Below are 19,912 nucleotides of genomic sequence, written 5' to 3'. Positions count from 1 at the left end.
GGTTTCCTCTTTTCTCTAAGTTCTCTTAAAAAGCATCCCTCACAAATTAAAGGTCTGCTCTAAGATATCATTACTACTTCTTATCTGTTGGACAAGAAGGTGCTATTAGGTTGCATTCTGTCCTTTATTATTATGTTTGTAAACCTTTTAAAAAATGTTTGTTAATGGATTCTATGTTGTTTGACTGAGCCATTTCATTTTTATCTTCCACAGGGATGGCCCTATATTTGTCACTGAGAGCAGAAGGGTTGAGAACTTAGATCCTGACAGGAGGCCCACCTTTATTGGAGAAATGGCTCTGCAACTTAGTAAGTGACAATTGGGCTGTTATTTAACCCTGTAAGCCTTGGTTAAATGAGATTATGGATGTGAACCACTAGGCATATGTTTGTACAGTCATTACTCAAAATATTAGCTATGAAGTATGTATCTACATGTTGAATCAAAGGAAGTTAACTGCTACCTGGATAATGTTTTGATGACACAATTTCTGGAGCATGAAGAATGTTTCTACAGAAGAGGCCACGTACCTCTCTGATGCAAATTATTTATATTGATAGTACATGTTTATACAAACTAGTTGACCAAAATCTAAGTGGAAGCCATTTCTAAATACTGCTTTTATAATTGCCATTTTCACATCCATGTGACGAAATGCATTTACAGTCCCAACTTGGCAGAATGTGTGAGTGTGGGATATGCCCAGTAGTGGGGCAGTGACCTTAGTCAACAGCCTCGTAGCTGGAATATCAGATACCCTGCTTGGCCTTTGAGTCTGGGACTGGCAAAGCTTCCTGGCAATGAAAGTTTTGTGGGTTATGGAAACCCTGGAGAATGTGAAGAAAGCTATGCATAGATAAACTTACATGGTAAAGGAGAGAGAGAGAAAGAGAAAAAGAGGGAGAGAGAGATATACAGAAATTGAGGAAAAGGAGAAGAAAGGGGGGGAAAGGAGACAAGAAGCCAGGGTGGGAGCAAGAACCAGAGAGAGGAGTAAAATGCCATGTTCTGAATTCAAACAGATTGGGTTTTAAATATTTTTCAAGCTGTGTGATTCTGGGCATTACTTAACCTAAGTCTCAGTTTCCTTATCTGTAAAATAAGAATAAAAAGAGGCCAGGTGCAGTGGCTTATGGCTATAATCCAAGCACTTTGGGAGGCTGAAGCGGGTAGATTGTTTGAGCTCAGGAGTTCGAGACCACCCTGGGCAACATGGCAAAACCCTGTCTCTGCAGAAAAAATGTGAAAATTAGCCGGGTGTGCACCACTGGTCCCAGCTACTCAGGAGGCTGAGGTGGGAGGATTGCTTGAGCACAGGAGTTTGAGGCTACAGTGAGCCAAGATCACACCACTGCACTCCAGCCTGGGCAACAGAGCGAGACCCCGCCTCAAAAACAGAAGTAATAAAAGAATATCTACCTCACAAGGTTTTTATGAGGATCAAATGGGATAGTACATTTAACAGCCCTTAGCCCAGAGAATGTGCTGTTTTGTAACTTCCTTATTTCAAAACTTATGGAAGACCTTTCCTCATGTATGACATTTATTTGTGTTTGATTATTTATTTATCTGCTTAGGGAGTATTTGTTTTATTGGAAAGGAGCATCACTAGAACCGGAGGCATGTGATTCCTTGAGATGTAGAAAGTCTTTTTGCTGTTTCTGCAGGAATGATTGCAGGCAGGCGATGCTATGGGGCATTTTCTCTTCTAAAGGGATAGACTGTAATGTCCTAAGAAATTTTTTTTCTTTATTTTCCTTTCTCTCTTTCTTTCTCTCTCTTTCTTTCTTTTCTTTCTTTCTTTTTCTTTCTTTCTTTCCTTCTTTCTTTCTTTTCTTTCCTTCTTTCTCCTTCTTTCCCCTTCCTTCCTTCCTTCCTTCCTTCCTTCCTTCCTTCCTTCCTTCCTTCCTTCCTTCTTTCTCTCCCTCTGTCACCCAGGCTGGAGTGTGGGGCAGCAATCATAACTCAAAGCAGCCTCAAACGCCTGGGCCCAAGCAATCCTCCTGACTCAACCTCCAGAGGAGCTGGGACTACCAGATTGACTAATGTTTTTCTTTTTACTTTTTGTAGAGACAGGGTCTCTTTATGTTGCTGAGGCTGGTCTTGAACTCCTGTCCTCAAGCTATCCTTTTGCTTCAGCCTCCTGAGTCCCTGGGATTATAGGCATGTGCCACCATGACCAGCTTGTTTTAAGAAATATTGATTTAATGGGTTGAACACCAAAAATGGGAGTCACAAGGCCTTCATTGATTCATCCTGTCATCTGATCCTTGTTTGCTAGGGCCAATGCAAGTGCTGAATTAGGTAGCACTGGGGAATGAGGGTGAAGGTGGGCCCACCATGATAAGCAAAACAGAGCCCCTGCTCTACGTGAGTCCTGGAATTTGGCTGTTTCCTCTGCCCTTGTGATGGCAGGGGAAGCTTCTCCTGGTGTACGACAGTGCAATGCCAGGGGTTCCTAAGTTGTTATCTGGTCAAAGGACGCAAGGAGTTAGAATAGGAGCCCCAGAGTAAATTCTAGGCAGCATTTCTGCTCCCTCTGTCCCAGTCTCATATCATTCTACTCTGACTCTTACTCACTGAGTCACCATCCCTGGCTTAACAGCTTGTACTTTAGTTCTCATATCTGTCAAATGGAACAATGGCAATTGCTATTTCTCTTCCTGCAGGGACTATTACAACTTGTAAAAATTAGTGAGTTATACGTGGGAAGCATTTTGGCCTCACAATTGAGAAGCAGAGAAGTGGTTCAAGGTATAATTTACATATTCATGGCATTTGATAATTTCCTTTCAGATTATTTTCTTCAAAGTGGGCATGGATGTTTTCAATTTCATAATCGAACCCAACTATATTTACTGAGCACCTACCTATTGCATAAAAAATAGAAAAATAAACAAGACTCTTTTTTGTCCTTCAGTTGGTAAATTCTACTGTTTGGGATTTTATTTGTGTACTCCCAAAGGGATCTGTTTGTCTGATTGAATATACAAATGACATTTGTATCACTAATTAGATCCTTACCTACCCTCCCATTTACACCATGCAGATAGTTAGGTTAGAAAGAAATTGGATTCTGATGATTTTAGTTTAGTAAAGATTTCTGAACACAGGTATATCCAATAGGGAGCGGTATCTTCCTTTATCCTATTTGCTAGCTTATAATTAGGATAAAATGGGAGAGGAAGAAAGGAATGTGTGGGGAGGGCTGTTTGTCAACACTTGGAGAGCTCCTGTCATCAGTATGAAGAACTTTTTAATTTCTGAGATTCTTCTTCTCCTTTACTATAGGCTCATGTAAGACTGCTGGGATTTGAAATTTATCCTATTATTTGAAGACTGAAATCAAAATATGAAGGTGGAGCATCATGTGTGCCTTCTGTCTTGTTCTCTACTAGGGTGTAAACCATTTAACTAAAAATAGTCTCCAATTTGACACCTTCCCAACATTTCACTAGTATACTCCAAATCTCCATGCAGGGTTACAGACCTATTTCAGCTGGCTCCATTTACTCTGAGGCAGATAAAGCTGAGATTGCAACATCAGAAGCAGTTCAACCAATCATTATGTACAAACCTCAGCCCATTTGTATAATGCAATCCTTCTGGTAGTAATGACACAAAACATGCCTATAGGGACGATCACAACCCTGTCAAAGTCCCAAGTCATCTGTGGCACCAGGGCCACAGAACTTCTTACCACTTGGAAGCAAAATAGTTGCTTTAATGGTAACCAAATGCCCTCCTTCAAGACAGTATTTCAAGAAGGAGGAGTATACGTATATTATACAAACATATCCAATCCCTTTAGAAGATAATTATCAATATCATGCAGGGAAGCTGGAACACACACACAAAATCGAGTACTATCTAGAAGATCAAGCCACAAATCTCAAGAGAAGCAGTAAGTGTCCAGGGCCTGGGATTTTTTATCTTGGCCGTGAGAATAGCACAGCCCATGGTGCAGAAACGACAGGCTAGTTGTCCAGCATAACATGGTGTTTTATTTCACCATAGTAGACTGCTGGGAAATCTCTGGAGGCCTTGGCAGCTGTGTCTTGTCTTTAATATGAAGCCTGGGGGGGAAGACAGAGAGAGAGACTCATAATTCACAAGAGGCCCAGCCGTAAGAAAGCCATTCTAAATAACTGAATCAGGCACCGAGGAGGAGCGACTATTCCATTCCTAAGTCAAGAATGCTTTTTGTCTTTCCTTCTCTCCTAATTGGCTCATGAAAAGATCATTTATGTGTGGTAGAATCAGTACATCAGAGGCAGCTTCTGTTTCTCTCCATTTCTCCTCCCCACTGCTGCTGTCCTGTAAAAAGACCCTTTGTTACAGACTGAAACAGCAGATGCAGCTCAGATATTATCTTGAATAATTTTGTGGGGAGCATTTTATCTTGAATTGGTGTAATGCCATTTTCACGTGGAAAGTGGTTCTATGTCTGATCCAAATGTTCTAGAAACTTGAGAGACCCATATGGCAAAGAAGTACTTTACACACATATCTCTTTAAAGTAGTGCAGGGTATGGGAAGAACTGATAATGCTGATTAAATGATATGTAGACGAAATGAATGTAAACTGGCATCATGGGCTGAGTGAGTCAGGGGAGGCCTTGTGGAAGAGATAAGAGTAATAGAAAATGCTAGGTCAAGTATGTGTAGAGGCCTGGAGAGAGGAATGGACTTAGTGGGTCCAAAAGTAAGAAGACTTGTTTGTTGTGAATACAGAGTTAGAAGTAGGTAGAAGAAAAAGTTGGTCGGGTCCTGCAGAGATTAAAAATCCGGTTTAAGATTTTAGATTGTTTCAATCATCAATTAGTTGGTGTCTGTGTTCATTGTGGAAATGCTTTAAATATAGATAACAAAAAGGATAATAACTTACAATCCTACCAGTCGTAGGATGATGATGGCAGACAATGTGGTGCACATTCTTTCATATATTTTATTGTCCTAGTTTAAGGTTCCCTATAGGCAGATCCTGAGATGAAGATTTAAATGCACACCACTTATTGAGGAGGTGATTTCAGGAAACACCGGCAGGAGAGTGGGGCAGTATGACAGGGAAAGAAAGGAAGCAAAAAAATAAAGGGCATGTTCTCAAAGGAATCAGTTGGAGAGCAGTCATGCTGGAGACACTGGAAGAGAGTATAGAAGATGTCTCAATGTAGTCCTGCCTAGGGATCAGGAAGTCGAAGTATTTATCCACTAATTCTTGTCAATTGAGAATTTATTTGAGGGGCATTAACTCTCCAAAACGGTCTCCCTGTGCCGGAAAAATAACCCTAAGCAGAATGTTGTAGGTATTTGCAGCAAATAGCCCTCAGTGTGTCCTGAGGATTGGTGTAGTACATAAATATACAAAATTATTTTTATTTATAAAAAAGCTTTCTATGCATCAGGCTCTGTACTGTGTGTTTTACTTGCATTCACTCAAAATAGTTCTCACAGAAGCCCTATGAGGTCGGCGCTACTCTTATCCCCTGAGGATTAGAGGCTGGGAGAAGTATATATGAGAGTCATATGGAGATTAAATACCTGAAGTCATGAGGAGATGATGCACTCTCCAAGAGAGCTTTGATGACAGCCTATTTATGCAGCTTCTGTCATCTGTACACATTCTCCTCTTTCTGTCAACAAAGAGTTTTTCTTTTGCAATTGTAAATGTCCTCTGTTTTCAGAGACTTTTGTTGGAAAACAAAACAAAATCTTGAGACATGAAGGATCTGTAATGGACACCTGTCGATTGTGTCTGTTCAGCAGCTCCTCTCCCACCTGTCTTCCAGTACAACACCTTATTTCATTGGAGAGAAAGGTTCTACCTCTTCTCCTTAAGGTTTTAGTGGACAGCCAAACCAGTCTTCAGTCTACAGGGTGAGTATGAGATCCAGGCTTGACCAACCATAGTCACCACCCACTTGGCTACATCAAATTGAGCCAGAAAGAGCCTTTCCCTGGGAATTTATATGTAGACTTTGGGAAAAGGAAGCTTTCTTCTCTGATGTTACTAGACAGCGATGACAAAACCAGTGCTTGTCTGGACCATGCTCCACTTCCTCTCCACAGCAAGATGAGCAAGCTCATCTGTAGTAGGAAAGAATGTAGGAATGCATCCCCTGCACAGAGAAAAGCGGAGGAGAGAATGAGAGAGAGAGAGAGAGAGAGAGAGAGAGAGAGAGAGAGAGAGAGATCTGACTGTACTGCTAAGTCCCTGCAATCCCCACCAAGGTCTGCAAGGTCTACTTCCCCTAGACTACAACTACCCATTACTTGTGCCAAATATTCAATAAATCGTAACCTTAGCAGGGAGAGGGATGAAGAGAGATTGATTAATGGGTATGTATATACAGTATGATAGAAGAAATAAGACCTAGTATTTCATCAGTCAGTAGTATGACTATAGTTTACAATAATCTATTGTATATTTCAATATAGCTAGAAGAGAAGAATTAGAATGTTTCTAGCATAAAGAAAACACAAATATTTAAGGTGATGGGAATCTCAGTTACACTGATTTTATCTTTACAAGGCATATGAATGTTTTAAATTGTCATAGTACCCCCAAAATATGTACATGTTATGTATCAATAAAACACAAAATTAAAAAATAAATATTTAAACAATCATAACCTTACTCCTTCCTTCCTTCCTTTCTTCCTTCTATTTCTTTCTTTCTTATTTCTTTGTTTATAACTGGTTCAACTTGGGTTTCTGTTTCTTGCAACCATAGTCTTGACTAATTCAGGACCAAGTGCACTCTTAATCATGAAGTATATCTGTGGCCCTTAAGTTATATATTGGAGTAAGAGAGCAGGGGGTGGAGAGAATCAAATTATGACAGGACAGAAATGGCCTTTTTCCATCTATCACAATTTTATTTGCCTCCATGATTATCAGGTCGATTCCAACTCTTTGAGGCATGAAGGACCAGGAAGGAGGCATCTGCCTTTAGGAAATGCTGAACTGCAATAGCAACATGAAGCATGGTTTCCTATTGACTGCTGCCTTTGACCTGCAGCCATTGATGGCATTCATCAATCAAAGTCTAACCAATTGGGACTATCAGACTTTTCCCTCCTACTCACACAACTCAAGGACATGGAGAACTCTGGTTTTAGGGGGTGTAAGCTGATGGTTCCATGAGTTCTAACCTGTGGCTTAGCCAGTCTTTGGCTTGTATAAGCCTCTAAAGGTTCAGCAGATCTAAAATCTTAGCGTGATTGTATTAACCTGAAAGCTATAAGACACCCTTGAAATAATAGTTGCCCTTAATTAAGCACTATGTATCTGGACTTTGTGTGTGCTGCCACAATGCAATCCTCACAGAATCCTGCAAAGTAGGTATTATTGCCCTTTTATGAATGAAGACCTTGAAATTCAGAGAGGTTAGCAGCCATCAGCCCCTCAAACCCAGGCCTGTAAGACTGAAGGCTTTACTCTCAGGATATGCAACGAGGCTATACATTTAATCCTAAACTCCCAAGCACAACTTTTAGAAGGGCTCTCTAGCCCTTTGTTATTTAAGTCAGTGATTCTTAAACAGGATATGGAAACCCCCATTGGGTGGATTTGTGTATCAACTCAGCTAAACTAAAACTATGGCACCCAAAATTCCCTTCTCTGCCTTAGCCTCCTAAAGTGCTGAGATTATAGGTGTGAGCCACCATACCTAGCTTTGTGTGAGATTTAGAAAGCAAAAGTAAAGCAGTGAAGTAGCAGACATACATTTTTTACACCTGAAAGGTTGGTGCAGGTCACAGGTGCTGTTGCATCTCATTCATGTTGTTCCTTACCTGTTGACTTGCATTGTGGTGTGGAACAGTAGCCACGCCTGCAACTTCTCCAGCCTCTCTGACTTCCAGACCCAACATGTCCTCCATGACGAAGGACACCAGCTTCTCCTAGAGAGTACCTGACCATTGAAGTTGGCAGCTTGAAAGCAGTAGGATATGAATGCAGATTCCAGTCCGTCCTCGTGGGTTCCAGTTTGCCTGTTTCCCCAACTTCACAGACATCTCTCTTTCCCAAATGCCTTCTCTGAGGATTTCAGGCTTCAGCACCAAACACAGATGCGATGGCCTCACACAGAGTAAGTAACAAGCTCCCCCAAATGAATAAGATCAAATCCCTATAATAAATGCCCTACTATATCAATCTATCTACCTGTCTGTCTATCTATCTGTCTATCTATCTACCTACCTACCTACCTACCTACCTACCTACCTACCTACCTACCTATCTATCTCCTAGTATTCTACTTCTCTAATTGAACCTTGACTGATCTCCTACACCTTTGGTAAGTGAAGACTTTAAGACTACAGATAATTTTAAGGAGACCATTTCCTAGATCTTCCATCTCCTGTCTACTGTTTCCTAACACTGATCTATAAGCCCATGTTTGCCCTCACTGTACCAGTTTGGTTCTCCAGGAAGAAGATGCTGACAGAGAGAGAGAGAGAGAGAGAGAGAGAGAGAGAGAGAGAGAGAGAGTTAGGAATACCAGTGTTTTATTGGGGAGTGACATCTGGGAAATGAGGGGGAGAGCAGGGTTAGGCAGCTGGAGTTGTCTGACTGTAACGCAGACCCCACAAAGTTGGCCAGCTCAGTGGGGAAGCTCCAGAGCCAAGATTGCATCTTAGAAGTTCTCCTGTTGGGTGGAAATGGCCAAGCCCATGTACATCAGCTGTTTTTCAGTTATTGCCTGAGGCTGCCCCAAGAAGAGCATGACCTTGGCTGGAAAGCTGAGGCAGATCCTGAGGAACGTAACAGCTGGAGGGTGTCTGCTAGCCACACTCCTCCCAGCTAAGGAGACAGCCTTTCTTGCAGGGGGATCTGAGCAGCACATTTCCACATCTGCCACCTCTCTCATCCCAAATCTTATGAAGGAATATTGCCCCAGGCTATGAAAACTTCCCCTGTGAATGAAACAAGTGGGTATATTGAAATGTTGATTTGGGGGCCTCATCAATCCATAAGTGTCATGAAAGAGGGATTCTTCTAGACCAGTATTTCTCAACCTCTCTTCATTATTGCACCCCATACATTTAAAAGGAATCTTTTTAGACATTTTTCCCTTAATTATTCATGAAAATACCACAGGTATATGTGTATATACTGTAAACATACAGGTTACGTACTATACATATATCTGTGCTTTGTACATAAAAAATAGTGCATTTTTTTTTCATTCCTCAAGAACCAATTTTCACTCCCTGGGGGATAATATCACCCTCCCACCCCCGGGTTAAGAATGCATGTTCTAGATTAAAAGAGACTTATGGGATATAACACCAGATGCAGTATATGGCCCAGGATTTAATCCTGGATTAGAAAAACTAACCATAAAGGACATGTGAGACATTTTAATATGGATTAGATATTTTTGTTCTGTGGCAGTGTAATTTGGCCTGTTTAGGAAAAGGTTTTTATTTTTTGTGGATACATATAGAAGTTAAAAAAAAAACAAGAACAAAATATTGGTTTGATGGAGAAATCTTCAGTTATTATTAATCAAGTTGCCTTACATCCATGGGGCTTCCTTTATTTGCCTGACCTGTATACATATTTCTGTTAAGGGTGAAGCTTGTCATTAGAAATGGAATAATTGGTCTTTGTGGGGAAAGCTCTGAATTTGGAATAGCTGAACCGTATGAATTAGTGATGCTGATTCTCTTAAAGTCAACTGGAATGTCTTACAACACAAGCAAGTTTTTTGAGAAACATTGGATAAAACTGGCTCATAAAATTTTTAGATGATTTCTTTCAGATTTGGGGTATTTTATTTATTGTGAAGTTAAAATATCTTTTATCAAATACTGTCATGAAATATTTATCCCAATTACAGTCTATCATCATCTTATTTTTATCTTATGATGAAAAATGCTAGATGTCAACTTAAAATATGTGAAGAGTTACATAGCTTTACAACATTCTTTTGGGGGTTATGTAAGCAGAATATTTGAAGATCCTTGGACTAAGATATTTCAAGTAAAGGAGGCCCTCTCTTTTTGCATCCCTTTAGTTTCTTTCCTTCCCAAGAGCCAACAGCTAATTATAGGCACGCAATACACCTGGCTGGAATTCCAGGCTTTGTTGGTGAGAACCAAGTTTATTTCAATGGCATTTTCTTTTCTCTTTTCTCAGTGGTAGAGTTCCACTGTCATAAAGTCACAAACACATCAGTAGGACTCCAAAATCTTATATAAAGATGCATCTGGTTTCCGCAACCTTTCTCCCTGCAGCTTAAAAACCCCACTACTTGGTTTTGGAGCACTCACAGACCCCCTTCCTGCTTATTGGTGGGTAAATGAAAAATCATTCCAAATGACAAAGAGATAACTTTTGTTTCTTTTTTGATAACTTCAATTAGTGTTGGATTGAAAATCAAATGTGAGGGTCTGTAATGTTTTTGTAGACAAGATGAATCATTGGCATGTTGCTTTTTGTAGGGTGTCTATATCATTTTACATAGCACACTTTTAAACAAAAGCCCTCCCACGAGGCTGAAGCATCTGTCATGATATATGTTCTTCCAGATTTCTCCTGAGCCTGAGCTTCCCAAGACACATTGTGCCCCACCTTTCAAGGTATTTTTCCTACACAGGACTTAATTTGCTGGCGTATCTCCCTGTCAGGTCCTGCATATCATTCTCATTACTGCTGACTTTGGTTTTCTGGTCTTGGCCTGAGCTTGGAAAATTCCTAAGGGGAATGCTGTACTAATTCTTAGGCCAGAAATGAAATTCTAGCAAGGTCTGTTGCTCACCGACAGAGTCTGCAGTTCTTAGAAGATGACTGTAATTGTCTGTCAGGATTTAGGTGGGCTACGCTTCTCAAATCTCAAACCCTTGTCTCTCTCTTAATTCTAGGCCTGTATTTTTGTCTGACAAATAGGTTATGTTATTTTTTAAATTTATTTTTGTTTTTCCTGGGGCAGGCTCCATGGGGAAGCCAGCAAGTGTTCAGCACTCTGTATGACCAGGTAGGCAAGTCTGCCCAGTTCTTTTTTTATTTTTTAAATATGCATACTTGGCTGGGCACGGTGGCTCACACCTGTAATCCCAACACTTTGGGAGGCAGAGGCGGGTGGATCACCTAAGGTCAGGAGTTCAAGACCAGCCTGACCAACATGGTAAAACCCCGTCTCTACTAAAAATACAAAATTAGCCTGGCATGGTGGCACATGCCTGTAATCCCAGCTACTCGGGAGGCTGAGGCACGAGAATCGCTTGAACCCAGGAGGCGGAAGTTGCAGTGATCCAAGATCGCACCATTGCAATCCGGCCTGGGCAACAAGAGCGAAACTCTGTCTGAAAAATAAGTAAATAAATAAATATGCATACTTTTAAAAAATTCAATAGTTTTGGGGGTACAGGTGATTTTTGGTTACATGTATAAGTTCTTTAGTGGTGATTTCTAATATTTTGGTGTACCCATCACCTGAGCAATGTACACGGTACCCAATATATGGTCTTTTATCCCTTACCCCCAAACTCTTCCCCCCGAGTCCCCCAGAGTCCGTTATATCTCTCTTATGCCTTTACATCCTTATAGTTTAACTTCCGCTTATAAGTGAGAACATGTGATATTTTATTTTTCATTCCTGAGTTACTTCACTTAGAATAATGGCATCCAGTTCCATCCAAGTTGCTGTGAAGTTGGTTATTTCGTTCCATTTTATGGCTGAGTAGTATTCCATTGTGTATGTACTATGATGTCAAATTCAAGATCTCTTAAACAGAACTGCCATCTTTTTCCTTTAATACTTTTTGCATGGGTTGTTCTACCAGATGAAGCTTCCTGTCACGTCATCTTGCTCAAAAGTCTTCAATGATTCACCATTGTCTATAACATGAAATGTACATTCTCTTCCTGATATTCTAAGCCCTGACACTCCACCTAAGCTGGTTCATTTAATATTGCCCAAGCCAGCCTTCTACATAATTCCATCAGGTTTTTGGTCAAATGTTCCCAAGTTCTGGAATGTTCCATTTACCTTTCTCTCATTTTTTTCCTACAAATATTTAAATTGCTCTTCAAATTTAACCCATATATCTGTATCTGTATGGCTTTCCCCTAATTTCCTTGAAATCTCTGCTCAAATGTCACCATGAGTGAGGCTTTTCTTTAACATCCAAATTAATATTGCAACAAGTCACCCCTGCCTGCCTCTATACCTCCTATCCCCATTCCCTGTTTTATTTTCCTCCATGGCACTTATCATTATACATTGTTTATTTATTCATGTCTTGTTCATCTGTCTCCATGAGGGCAAGGCTTTTCATTAGCTTTATTTATTGCAATATCCTCAGCAACAGGAAAAGGTCCTGGCACGTAGTAGGCACATGATGCATATTTAAAGATGAAATAAGTGAATGAATGAACTCTGAAACTATTTAAGGGCACTTAGAATGTGTCAGGCACTCTCCTAAGCTCTGGAAAGGTGGTTATGAACCAAACAGAGTTCTTTTATTTTATTATTTATTTATTTTCACTAAGTACCCTCATCTGTATAGAGTTCTTATAGAAACTTGCAGTCTCTTGGGGAAAAAATGTGTTGACGTGTTTACCAAGTCCAAGTGGAGCATGGCAGAGGGAAGAGAAAGGGACCAATATTATTGAGCTCCTACTGTGTGCCAGGTGAGTTCATATATCTGGTCTCATTTAAGGCTCACAATGATACAATCTGCTAGGTTTTATTCTCAATTTTGCAGATAAGAAAATTGAAGCTCAGGAAAGTTCTCCAATCTTTTCCAAAGTTTTGTGCTAGTAGGTGGTTAAAATCAGAAGGAATTTACACCCACTTTTTCTGAGGCAAAAACCAGTATGCTTTCTGCTCTACTAGGTTGCCTTTCAAGTCGTTAGGAAACAAATATGTTTGGCTTAACCTGAGGAAGCCATCATGGAACAGAAGATATTTGAGTAATAAATGAGATGTTCACCAAAGTGGAGGAAAGATGGAAGGATACTCACCCTCTGTATAAACTTCTCAGCTCACTACAACTCACAGAACGCTCTCCCTTCTGACTTTCATTCACTTCTATAATGTAATACATTGATTCAATAAATATTTATCAAATACCTACTATATGCCAAGTAATGTTCTATATTCTGGTGTCACAGGAGTGAATGAAACAGGTATTTTTTTCCATGGAGTTTTCAGTGGGATATTGGGAGAAAATAGTAGATTTAGATTAGAGTTATGGCTTCATCATAAAGTCTCTAAGGAGGACCTCAGAGAGGTCACTTAGTCTCTCTGAATTTTGATTTTTAGGTTTAGAATAGGAGTAACTACCCATCTCAACAAAATATGTTGCTGTGAGGATCAAATAAGATGAAAATACTTTGAACTATGAAGCACTAGAGATTGTGTTTTAATAAATCTAAGATATCATTGATTTTAAGAAGTGCAATTATTTTATGTACCATTAAGAAGGAAAAAATTCTACCAATTATGACATGCCATTGATGTAAGACCTATCCCAATTTCAGAAATATCAAAATGTGCAAAAAATCATACATCTTAGAATTGTTGAAATATGGCATAAAAATCTATTATTATCATTCCCTATGGTATCTAGCATATGGTATATGTTCAGAGAGGAATGAATTTAGCAGGATACATTGGCATAGATGAATGAGATAGGGGATAGAATATGTTTCTTAGAGATTTTTAAGGCTCTTTCTATCTTTTTACCTAATTTTTTCTTCCTGGATAAAATCACTGCAGACATTTTTATGTTGTGGAATTTTAGAGCTCCAATCACCTCATTTCCCTTGTGGTCTCTTAAACAGAGACACAATACCATCCTGAACACTACCTCAAGTCACATAAAAAATTGTCAGACACCCCGAGTAGCCTAACTGGGAGGCACCCTCCAGTAGGGGCAGACTGACACCTCACACGGCCGGGTACCCCTCTGAGACGAAACTTCCAGAGGAACGATCAGACAGCAACATTTGCTGTTCAGCAATATTCGCTGTTCTGCAGCCTCTGCTGCTGATACCCAGGCAAACAGAGTCTGGAGTAGACCTCCAGCAAACTCCAACAGACCTGCAGCTGAGGGTCCTGACTGTTAGAAGGAAAACAAACAGAAAGGACATCCACACCAAAACCCCATCTGTACGTCACCATCATCAAAGACCAAAGGTAGATAAAACCACAAAGATGGGGAAAAAACAGAGCAGAAAAACTGAAAATTCTAAAAATCAGAGCGCCTCTCCTCCTCCAAAGGAACGCAGCTCCTCACCAGCAATGGAACAAAGCTGGACGGAGAATGACTTTGACGAGTTGAGAGAAGAAGGCTTCAGACGATCAAACTTCTCTGAGCTAAAGGAGGAAGTTCGAACCCATTGCAAAGAAGCTTAAAACCTTGATAAAAAATTAGACAAATGGCTAACTAGAATAACCAATGTAGAGAAGGCCTTAAATGACCTGATGGAGCTAAAAACCATGGCACGAGAACTATGTGACGAATGCACAAGCTTCAGTAGCCAATTCGATCAGCTGGAAGAAACGGTATCAGTGATTGAAGATCAAATGAATGAAATTAAGCGAGAAGAGAAGTTTAGAGAAAAAAGAATGAAAACAAATGAACAACGCCTCCAAGAAATATGGGACTATGTGAAAAGACCAAATCTACGTCTGATTGGTGTACCTGAAAGTGACAGGGAGAATGGAACCAAGTTGGAAAACACTCTGCAGGATATTATCCAGGAGAACTTCCCCAACCTAGCAAGGCAGGCCAACATTCAAATACAGGAAATACAGAGAATGCCACAAAGATACTCCTCGAGAAGAGCAACTCCAAGACACATAACTGTCACATTCACTAAAGTTGAAATGAAGGAAAACATGTCAAGGGCACCCAGAGAGAAAGGTCAGGTTACCCACAAAGGGAAGCCCATCAGACTAACAGCTGATCTCTCAGCAGAAACTCTAAAAGCCAGAAGAGAGTGGGGGCCAATATTCAGTATTCTTAAAGAAAAGAATTTTCAACCCAGAATTTCATATCCAGCCAAACTAAGCTTCATAAGTGATGGAGAAATAAAATCCTTTACAGACAAGCAAATGCTGAGAGATTTTGTCACCACCAGGCCTGCCCTACAAGAGCTCCTGAAGGAAGCACTAAACATGGAAAGGAACAACCGGTACCAGCCACTGCAAAAACATGCCAAATTGTAAAGACCATCGAGGCTAGGAAGAAACTGCATCAACTAATGAGCAAAATAACCGGGTAACATCATAATGACAGGATCAAATTCACACATATCAATATTAACCTTAAATGTAAATGGGCTAAATGCTCCAATTAAAAGACACAGACTGGCAAACTGGATAAAGAGTCAAGACCCATCAGTGTGCTCTATTCAGGAAACCCATCTCACATGCAGAGACACACATAGGCTCAAAATAAAGGGATGGAGGAAGATCTACCAAGCAAATGGAAAACAAAAAAAGGCAGGGGTTGCAATCCTAGTCTCTGATAAAACAGACTTTAAACCAACAAAGATCAAAAGAGACAAAGAAGGCCATTACATAATGGTAAAGGGATCAATTCAACAAGAAGAGCTAACGATCTTAAATATATATGCACCCAATACAGGAGGACCCAGATTCATAAAGCAAGTCCTTAGAGACCTACAAAGAGACTTAGGCTCCCACACAATAATAATAGAAGACTTTAACACTCCACTGTCAACATTAGACAGATCCACGAGACAGAAAGTTAACAAGGATATCCAGGAATTGAACACAGCTCTGCACCAAGGGGACCTAATAGACACCTACAGAACTCTCCACCCCAAATCAACAGAATATACATTTTTCTCAGCACCACATCGCACTTATTCCAAAATTGACCACATAGTTGGAAGTAAAGCACTCCTCAGCAAATGTAAAAGAACAGAAATTATAACAAACTGTCTCTCAGACCACAGTGCAATCAAACTAGAGCTCAGGATTAAGAAACTCAAGCAAAACCGCTTAACTACATGGAAACTGAACAACCTGCTCCTGAATCACTACTGGGTACATAACAAAATGAAGGCAGAAATAAAGATGTTCTTTGAAACCAACGAGAACAAAGACACAACATACCAGAATCTCTGGGTCACATTTAAAGCAGTGTGTAGAGGGAAATTTATAGCACTAAATGCCCACAAGAGAAAGCAGGAAAGTTCTAAAATTGACACCCTAACATCACAATTAAAAGAACTAGAGAAGCAAGAGCAAACACATTCAAAAGCTGGCAGAAGGCAAGAAATAACTAAGATCAGAGCAGAACTGAAGGAGATAGAGACACAGAAAAACCTTCAAAAAATCGACGAATCCAGGAGCTGGTTTTTTGAAAAGATCAACAAAATTGATAGACCGCTAGCAAGACTAATAAAGAAGAAAAGAGAGAAGAATCAAATAGATGCAATAAAAAATGATAAAGGGGATATCACCACTGATCCCACAGAAATACAAACTACCATTAGAGAATACTATAAACACTCTATGCAAATAAACTAGAAAATCTAGAAGAAATGGATAAATCCCTCGACACATACACCCTCCCAAGACTAAACCAGGAAGAAGTTGAGTCTCTGAATAGACCAATAACAGGCTCTGATATTGAGGCAATAATTAATAGACTACCAATCAAAAAAAGTCCAGGACCAGATGGATTCACAGCCGAATTCTACCAGAGGTACAAAGAGGAGCTGGTACTATTCCTTCTGAAATTATTCCAATCAACAGAAAAAGAGGGAATCCTCCCTAACTCATTTTATGAGGCCAGCGTCATCCTGATACAAAGCCTGGCAGAGACACAACAAAAAAAGAGAATTTTAGACCAATATCCCTGATGAACATCGATGCAAAAATCCTCAATAAAATACTGGCAAACTGAATCCAGCAGCACATCAAAAAACTTATCCACCATGATCAAGTGGACTTCATCCCTGGGATGCAAGGCTGGTTCAACATACGCGAATCAATAAACATAATCCAGCATATAAACAGAACCAAAGACAAAACCACATGATTATCTCAATAGATGCAGAAAAGGCCTTTGACAAAATTCAACAGCAATTCATGCTAAAAACTCTCAATAAATTAGGTATTGATGGGACGTATCTCAAAATAATAAGAGCTATTTATGACAAACCCACAGCCAATATCATACTGAATGGGCAAAAACTGGAAGCATTCCCTTTGAAAACTGGCACAAGACAGGGATGCCCTCTCTCACCACTCCTATTCAACATAGTGTTGGAAGTTCTGGCCAGGGCAATCAGGCAGGAGAAAGAAATAAAGGGTATTCAATTAGGAAATGAGGAAGTCAAATTGTCCCTGTTTGCAGATGACATGATTGTATATTTAGAAAACCCCATTGTCTCAGCCCCAAATCTCCTTAAGCTGATAAGCAACTTCAGCAAAGTCTCAGGATACAAATCAATGTGCAGAAATCACAAGCATTCCTACACACCAAGAACAGACAAACAGCCAAGTCCTGAGTGAACTCCCAAACACAATTGCTTCAAAGAGAATAAAATACCTAGGAATCCAACTTACAAGGGATGTGAACGACCTCTTCAAGGAGAACTACAAACCACTGCTCAATGAAATAAAAGAGGACACCAACAAATGGAAGAACATTCCATGCTCATGGACAGGAAAAATCAATATTGTGAAAATGGCCATACTGCCCAAGGTAATTTATATATTCAATGCCATCCCCATCAAGCTACCAATGACTTTCTTCACAGAATTGGAAAAAAACTACTTTAAAGTTCATATGGAACCAAAAAAGAGCCCGCATTGCCAAGTTAATCCTAAGCCAAAAGAACAAAGCTGGAGGCATCATGCTACCTGACTTCAAACTATACTACAAGGGTACAGTAACCAAAACAGCATGGTACTGGTACCAAAACAGAGATACAGACCAATGGAACAGAACAGAGCCCTTAGAAATAATACCACACATCTAGAACAATCTGATCTTTGACAAACCTGATAAAAACAAGAATCGGGGAAAGGATTCCCTATTTAATAAATGGTGCTGGGAAAACTGGCTAGCCATATGTAGAAAGCTGAAACTGGATCCCTTCCTTATACCTTATACAAAAATTAATTCAAGATGGATTAAAGACTTACATGTTAGACCTAAAACCATAAAAACCCTAGAAGAAACCTAGGCAATACCATTCAGGCCATAGGCATGGGCAAGGACTTCATGTCTAAAACACCAAAAGCAATGGCAACAAAAGCCAAAATTGACCAATGGGATCTAATTAAACTAAAGAGCTTCTGCACAGCAAAAGAAACTACCATCAGAGTGAACAGGTGACCTACAGAATGGGAGAAATTTTTGCAATCTACTCATCTGACAAAGGGCTAATATCCAGAATCGACAAAGAACCCTAACAAATTTACAAGAAAAAAACAACCCCATCAACAAGTGGGCGAAGGATTTGAACAAACACTTCTCAAAAGAAGACATTTATGCAGTCAAAAGACACATGAAAAAATGTTCATCATCACTAACCATCAGAGAAATGCAAATCAAAACCACAATGAGATACCATCTCATGCCAGTTAGAATGACGATCTTTAAAAAGTCAGGAAACAACAGGTGCTGGAGAGGATGTGGAGAAATAGGAACACTTTTACACTGTTGGTGGGACTGGAAACTAGTTCAACCATTGTGGAAATCAGTGTGGCAATTCCTCAGGGATCTAAAACTAGAAATACCATTTGACCCAGCCATCCCATTACTGGGTGTATACCCAAAGGATTGTAAATCATGCTGCTATAAAAACACACACACACGTATGTTTATTGCTGCACTATTGACAATAGCAAAGATTTGGAACCAACCCAAATGTCCAACAATGATAGACTGGATTAAGAAAATGTGGCACATATACACCATGACATACTATGCAGCCATAAAAAATGATGAGTTCATGTCCTTTGTAGGGACATAGATGAAGCTGGAAACCATCATTCTCAGCAAACTATCACAAGGACAAAAAACCAAACACCCCATGTTCTCACTCATATGTGGGAACTGGAGAATGAGAACACTTGGACACAGGAAGGGAAACATCACACAGCAGGGCCTGTTGTGGGGTGGGGGGAGGGGGAAGGGATAGCATTAGGAGATATACCTAATGTAAATGACGAGTTAATGGGTGCAGCACACCAACATGGCACATGTATACATGTGTAACAAACCTGCACGTTGTGCACATGTATCCTAGAACTTAAAGTATAATAAAAATATATATGTTAAAAAAAATTGTCAGACATTTTTACAAAGTGGCTGCACCACAAACAGTGTATGAGAGTTCAGGTTGTTCTGTGTTCTCTCAACATTTAGTGTGGTCAGTCTTTCCTTTATTTTAGCCATTCATGTGGGCAGTAGTATCATATTGTGGCTTTAATTTGCATTTCTCGTAATGTGGTCCATTATGTAAGAGAGAAATTAATTTCTTGCTTGTTTAATGTGTAAAATCTCTTAACAGAACTGCAATGTCCAGTCTCCTCTTCATGAAAACTTCGTATCAGGAAAAGTGGTGCTTTACTAGAAGAACTTTAAAAATCATATGAGTATTGCTAATTATGTAACTGAGCTCTCTCCCGCCTCTCTCTCTCCTCTCTCTTCATCTTCCTCTTCTGTCCTCCTCTGCCCACTTTTTGTTTTGGCTCTTAGGAAACTCAAAGGCAGATCTGTAGTTCTTCATTGTGTTCTAATATTGGCTTCATCCTTTTTTATCTGATCTTCATTTTCCTTTTCTTCTAACTCTTAACCTATCTTTCCCAACATTTTGTTATAAATTATTTATTTATTTATTTATTTATGTTTTTGAGACGGAGCCTTGCTCTGTCGCCTAGGCTGGAGTGCAGTGGCATGATCTC

At 39.9% G+C, this 19,912-nt stretch overlaps 1 long non-coding RNA gene across 2 annotated transcripts in view; it reads left to right on the top strand.

Moving 5' to 3' along the window:
• SEPTIN7-DT (SEPTIN7 divergent transcript) overlaps positions 1-3,523 on the top strand; it is a 45,662-nt gene extending 42,139 nt beyond the window's left edge. The window contains exons 4-6 of one of the 2 annotated variants that reach the window (NR_120511.1): positions 214-308; positions 2,670-2,754; positions 3,292-3,523. This is a non-coding gene — a long non-coding RNA (SEPTIN7 divergent transcript). The remainder of the gene's footprint in view (positions 1-213; positions 309-2,669; positions 2,755-3,291) is intronic. The other variant, NR_120512.1, reaches the window with a different exon arrangement.
• Positions 3,524-19,912: the final 16,389 nt, after the last annotated feature.

This window comes from Homo sapiens, chromosome 7 (assembly GCF_000001405.40).
Source record: "Homo sapiens chromosome 7, GRCh38.p14 Primary Assembly".
NCBI lineage: Eukaryota > Metazoa > Chordata > Mammalia > Primates > Hominidae > Homo > Homo sapiens.
Note: the sequence above shows the minus strand (reverse complement) of the source record. Positions and strands in the feature narration are given on the sequence as shown.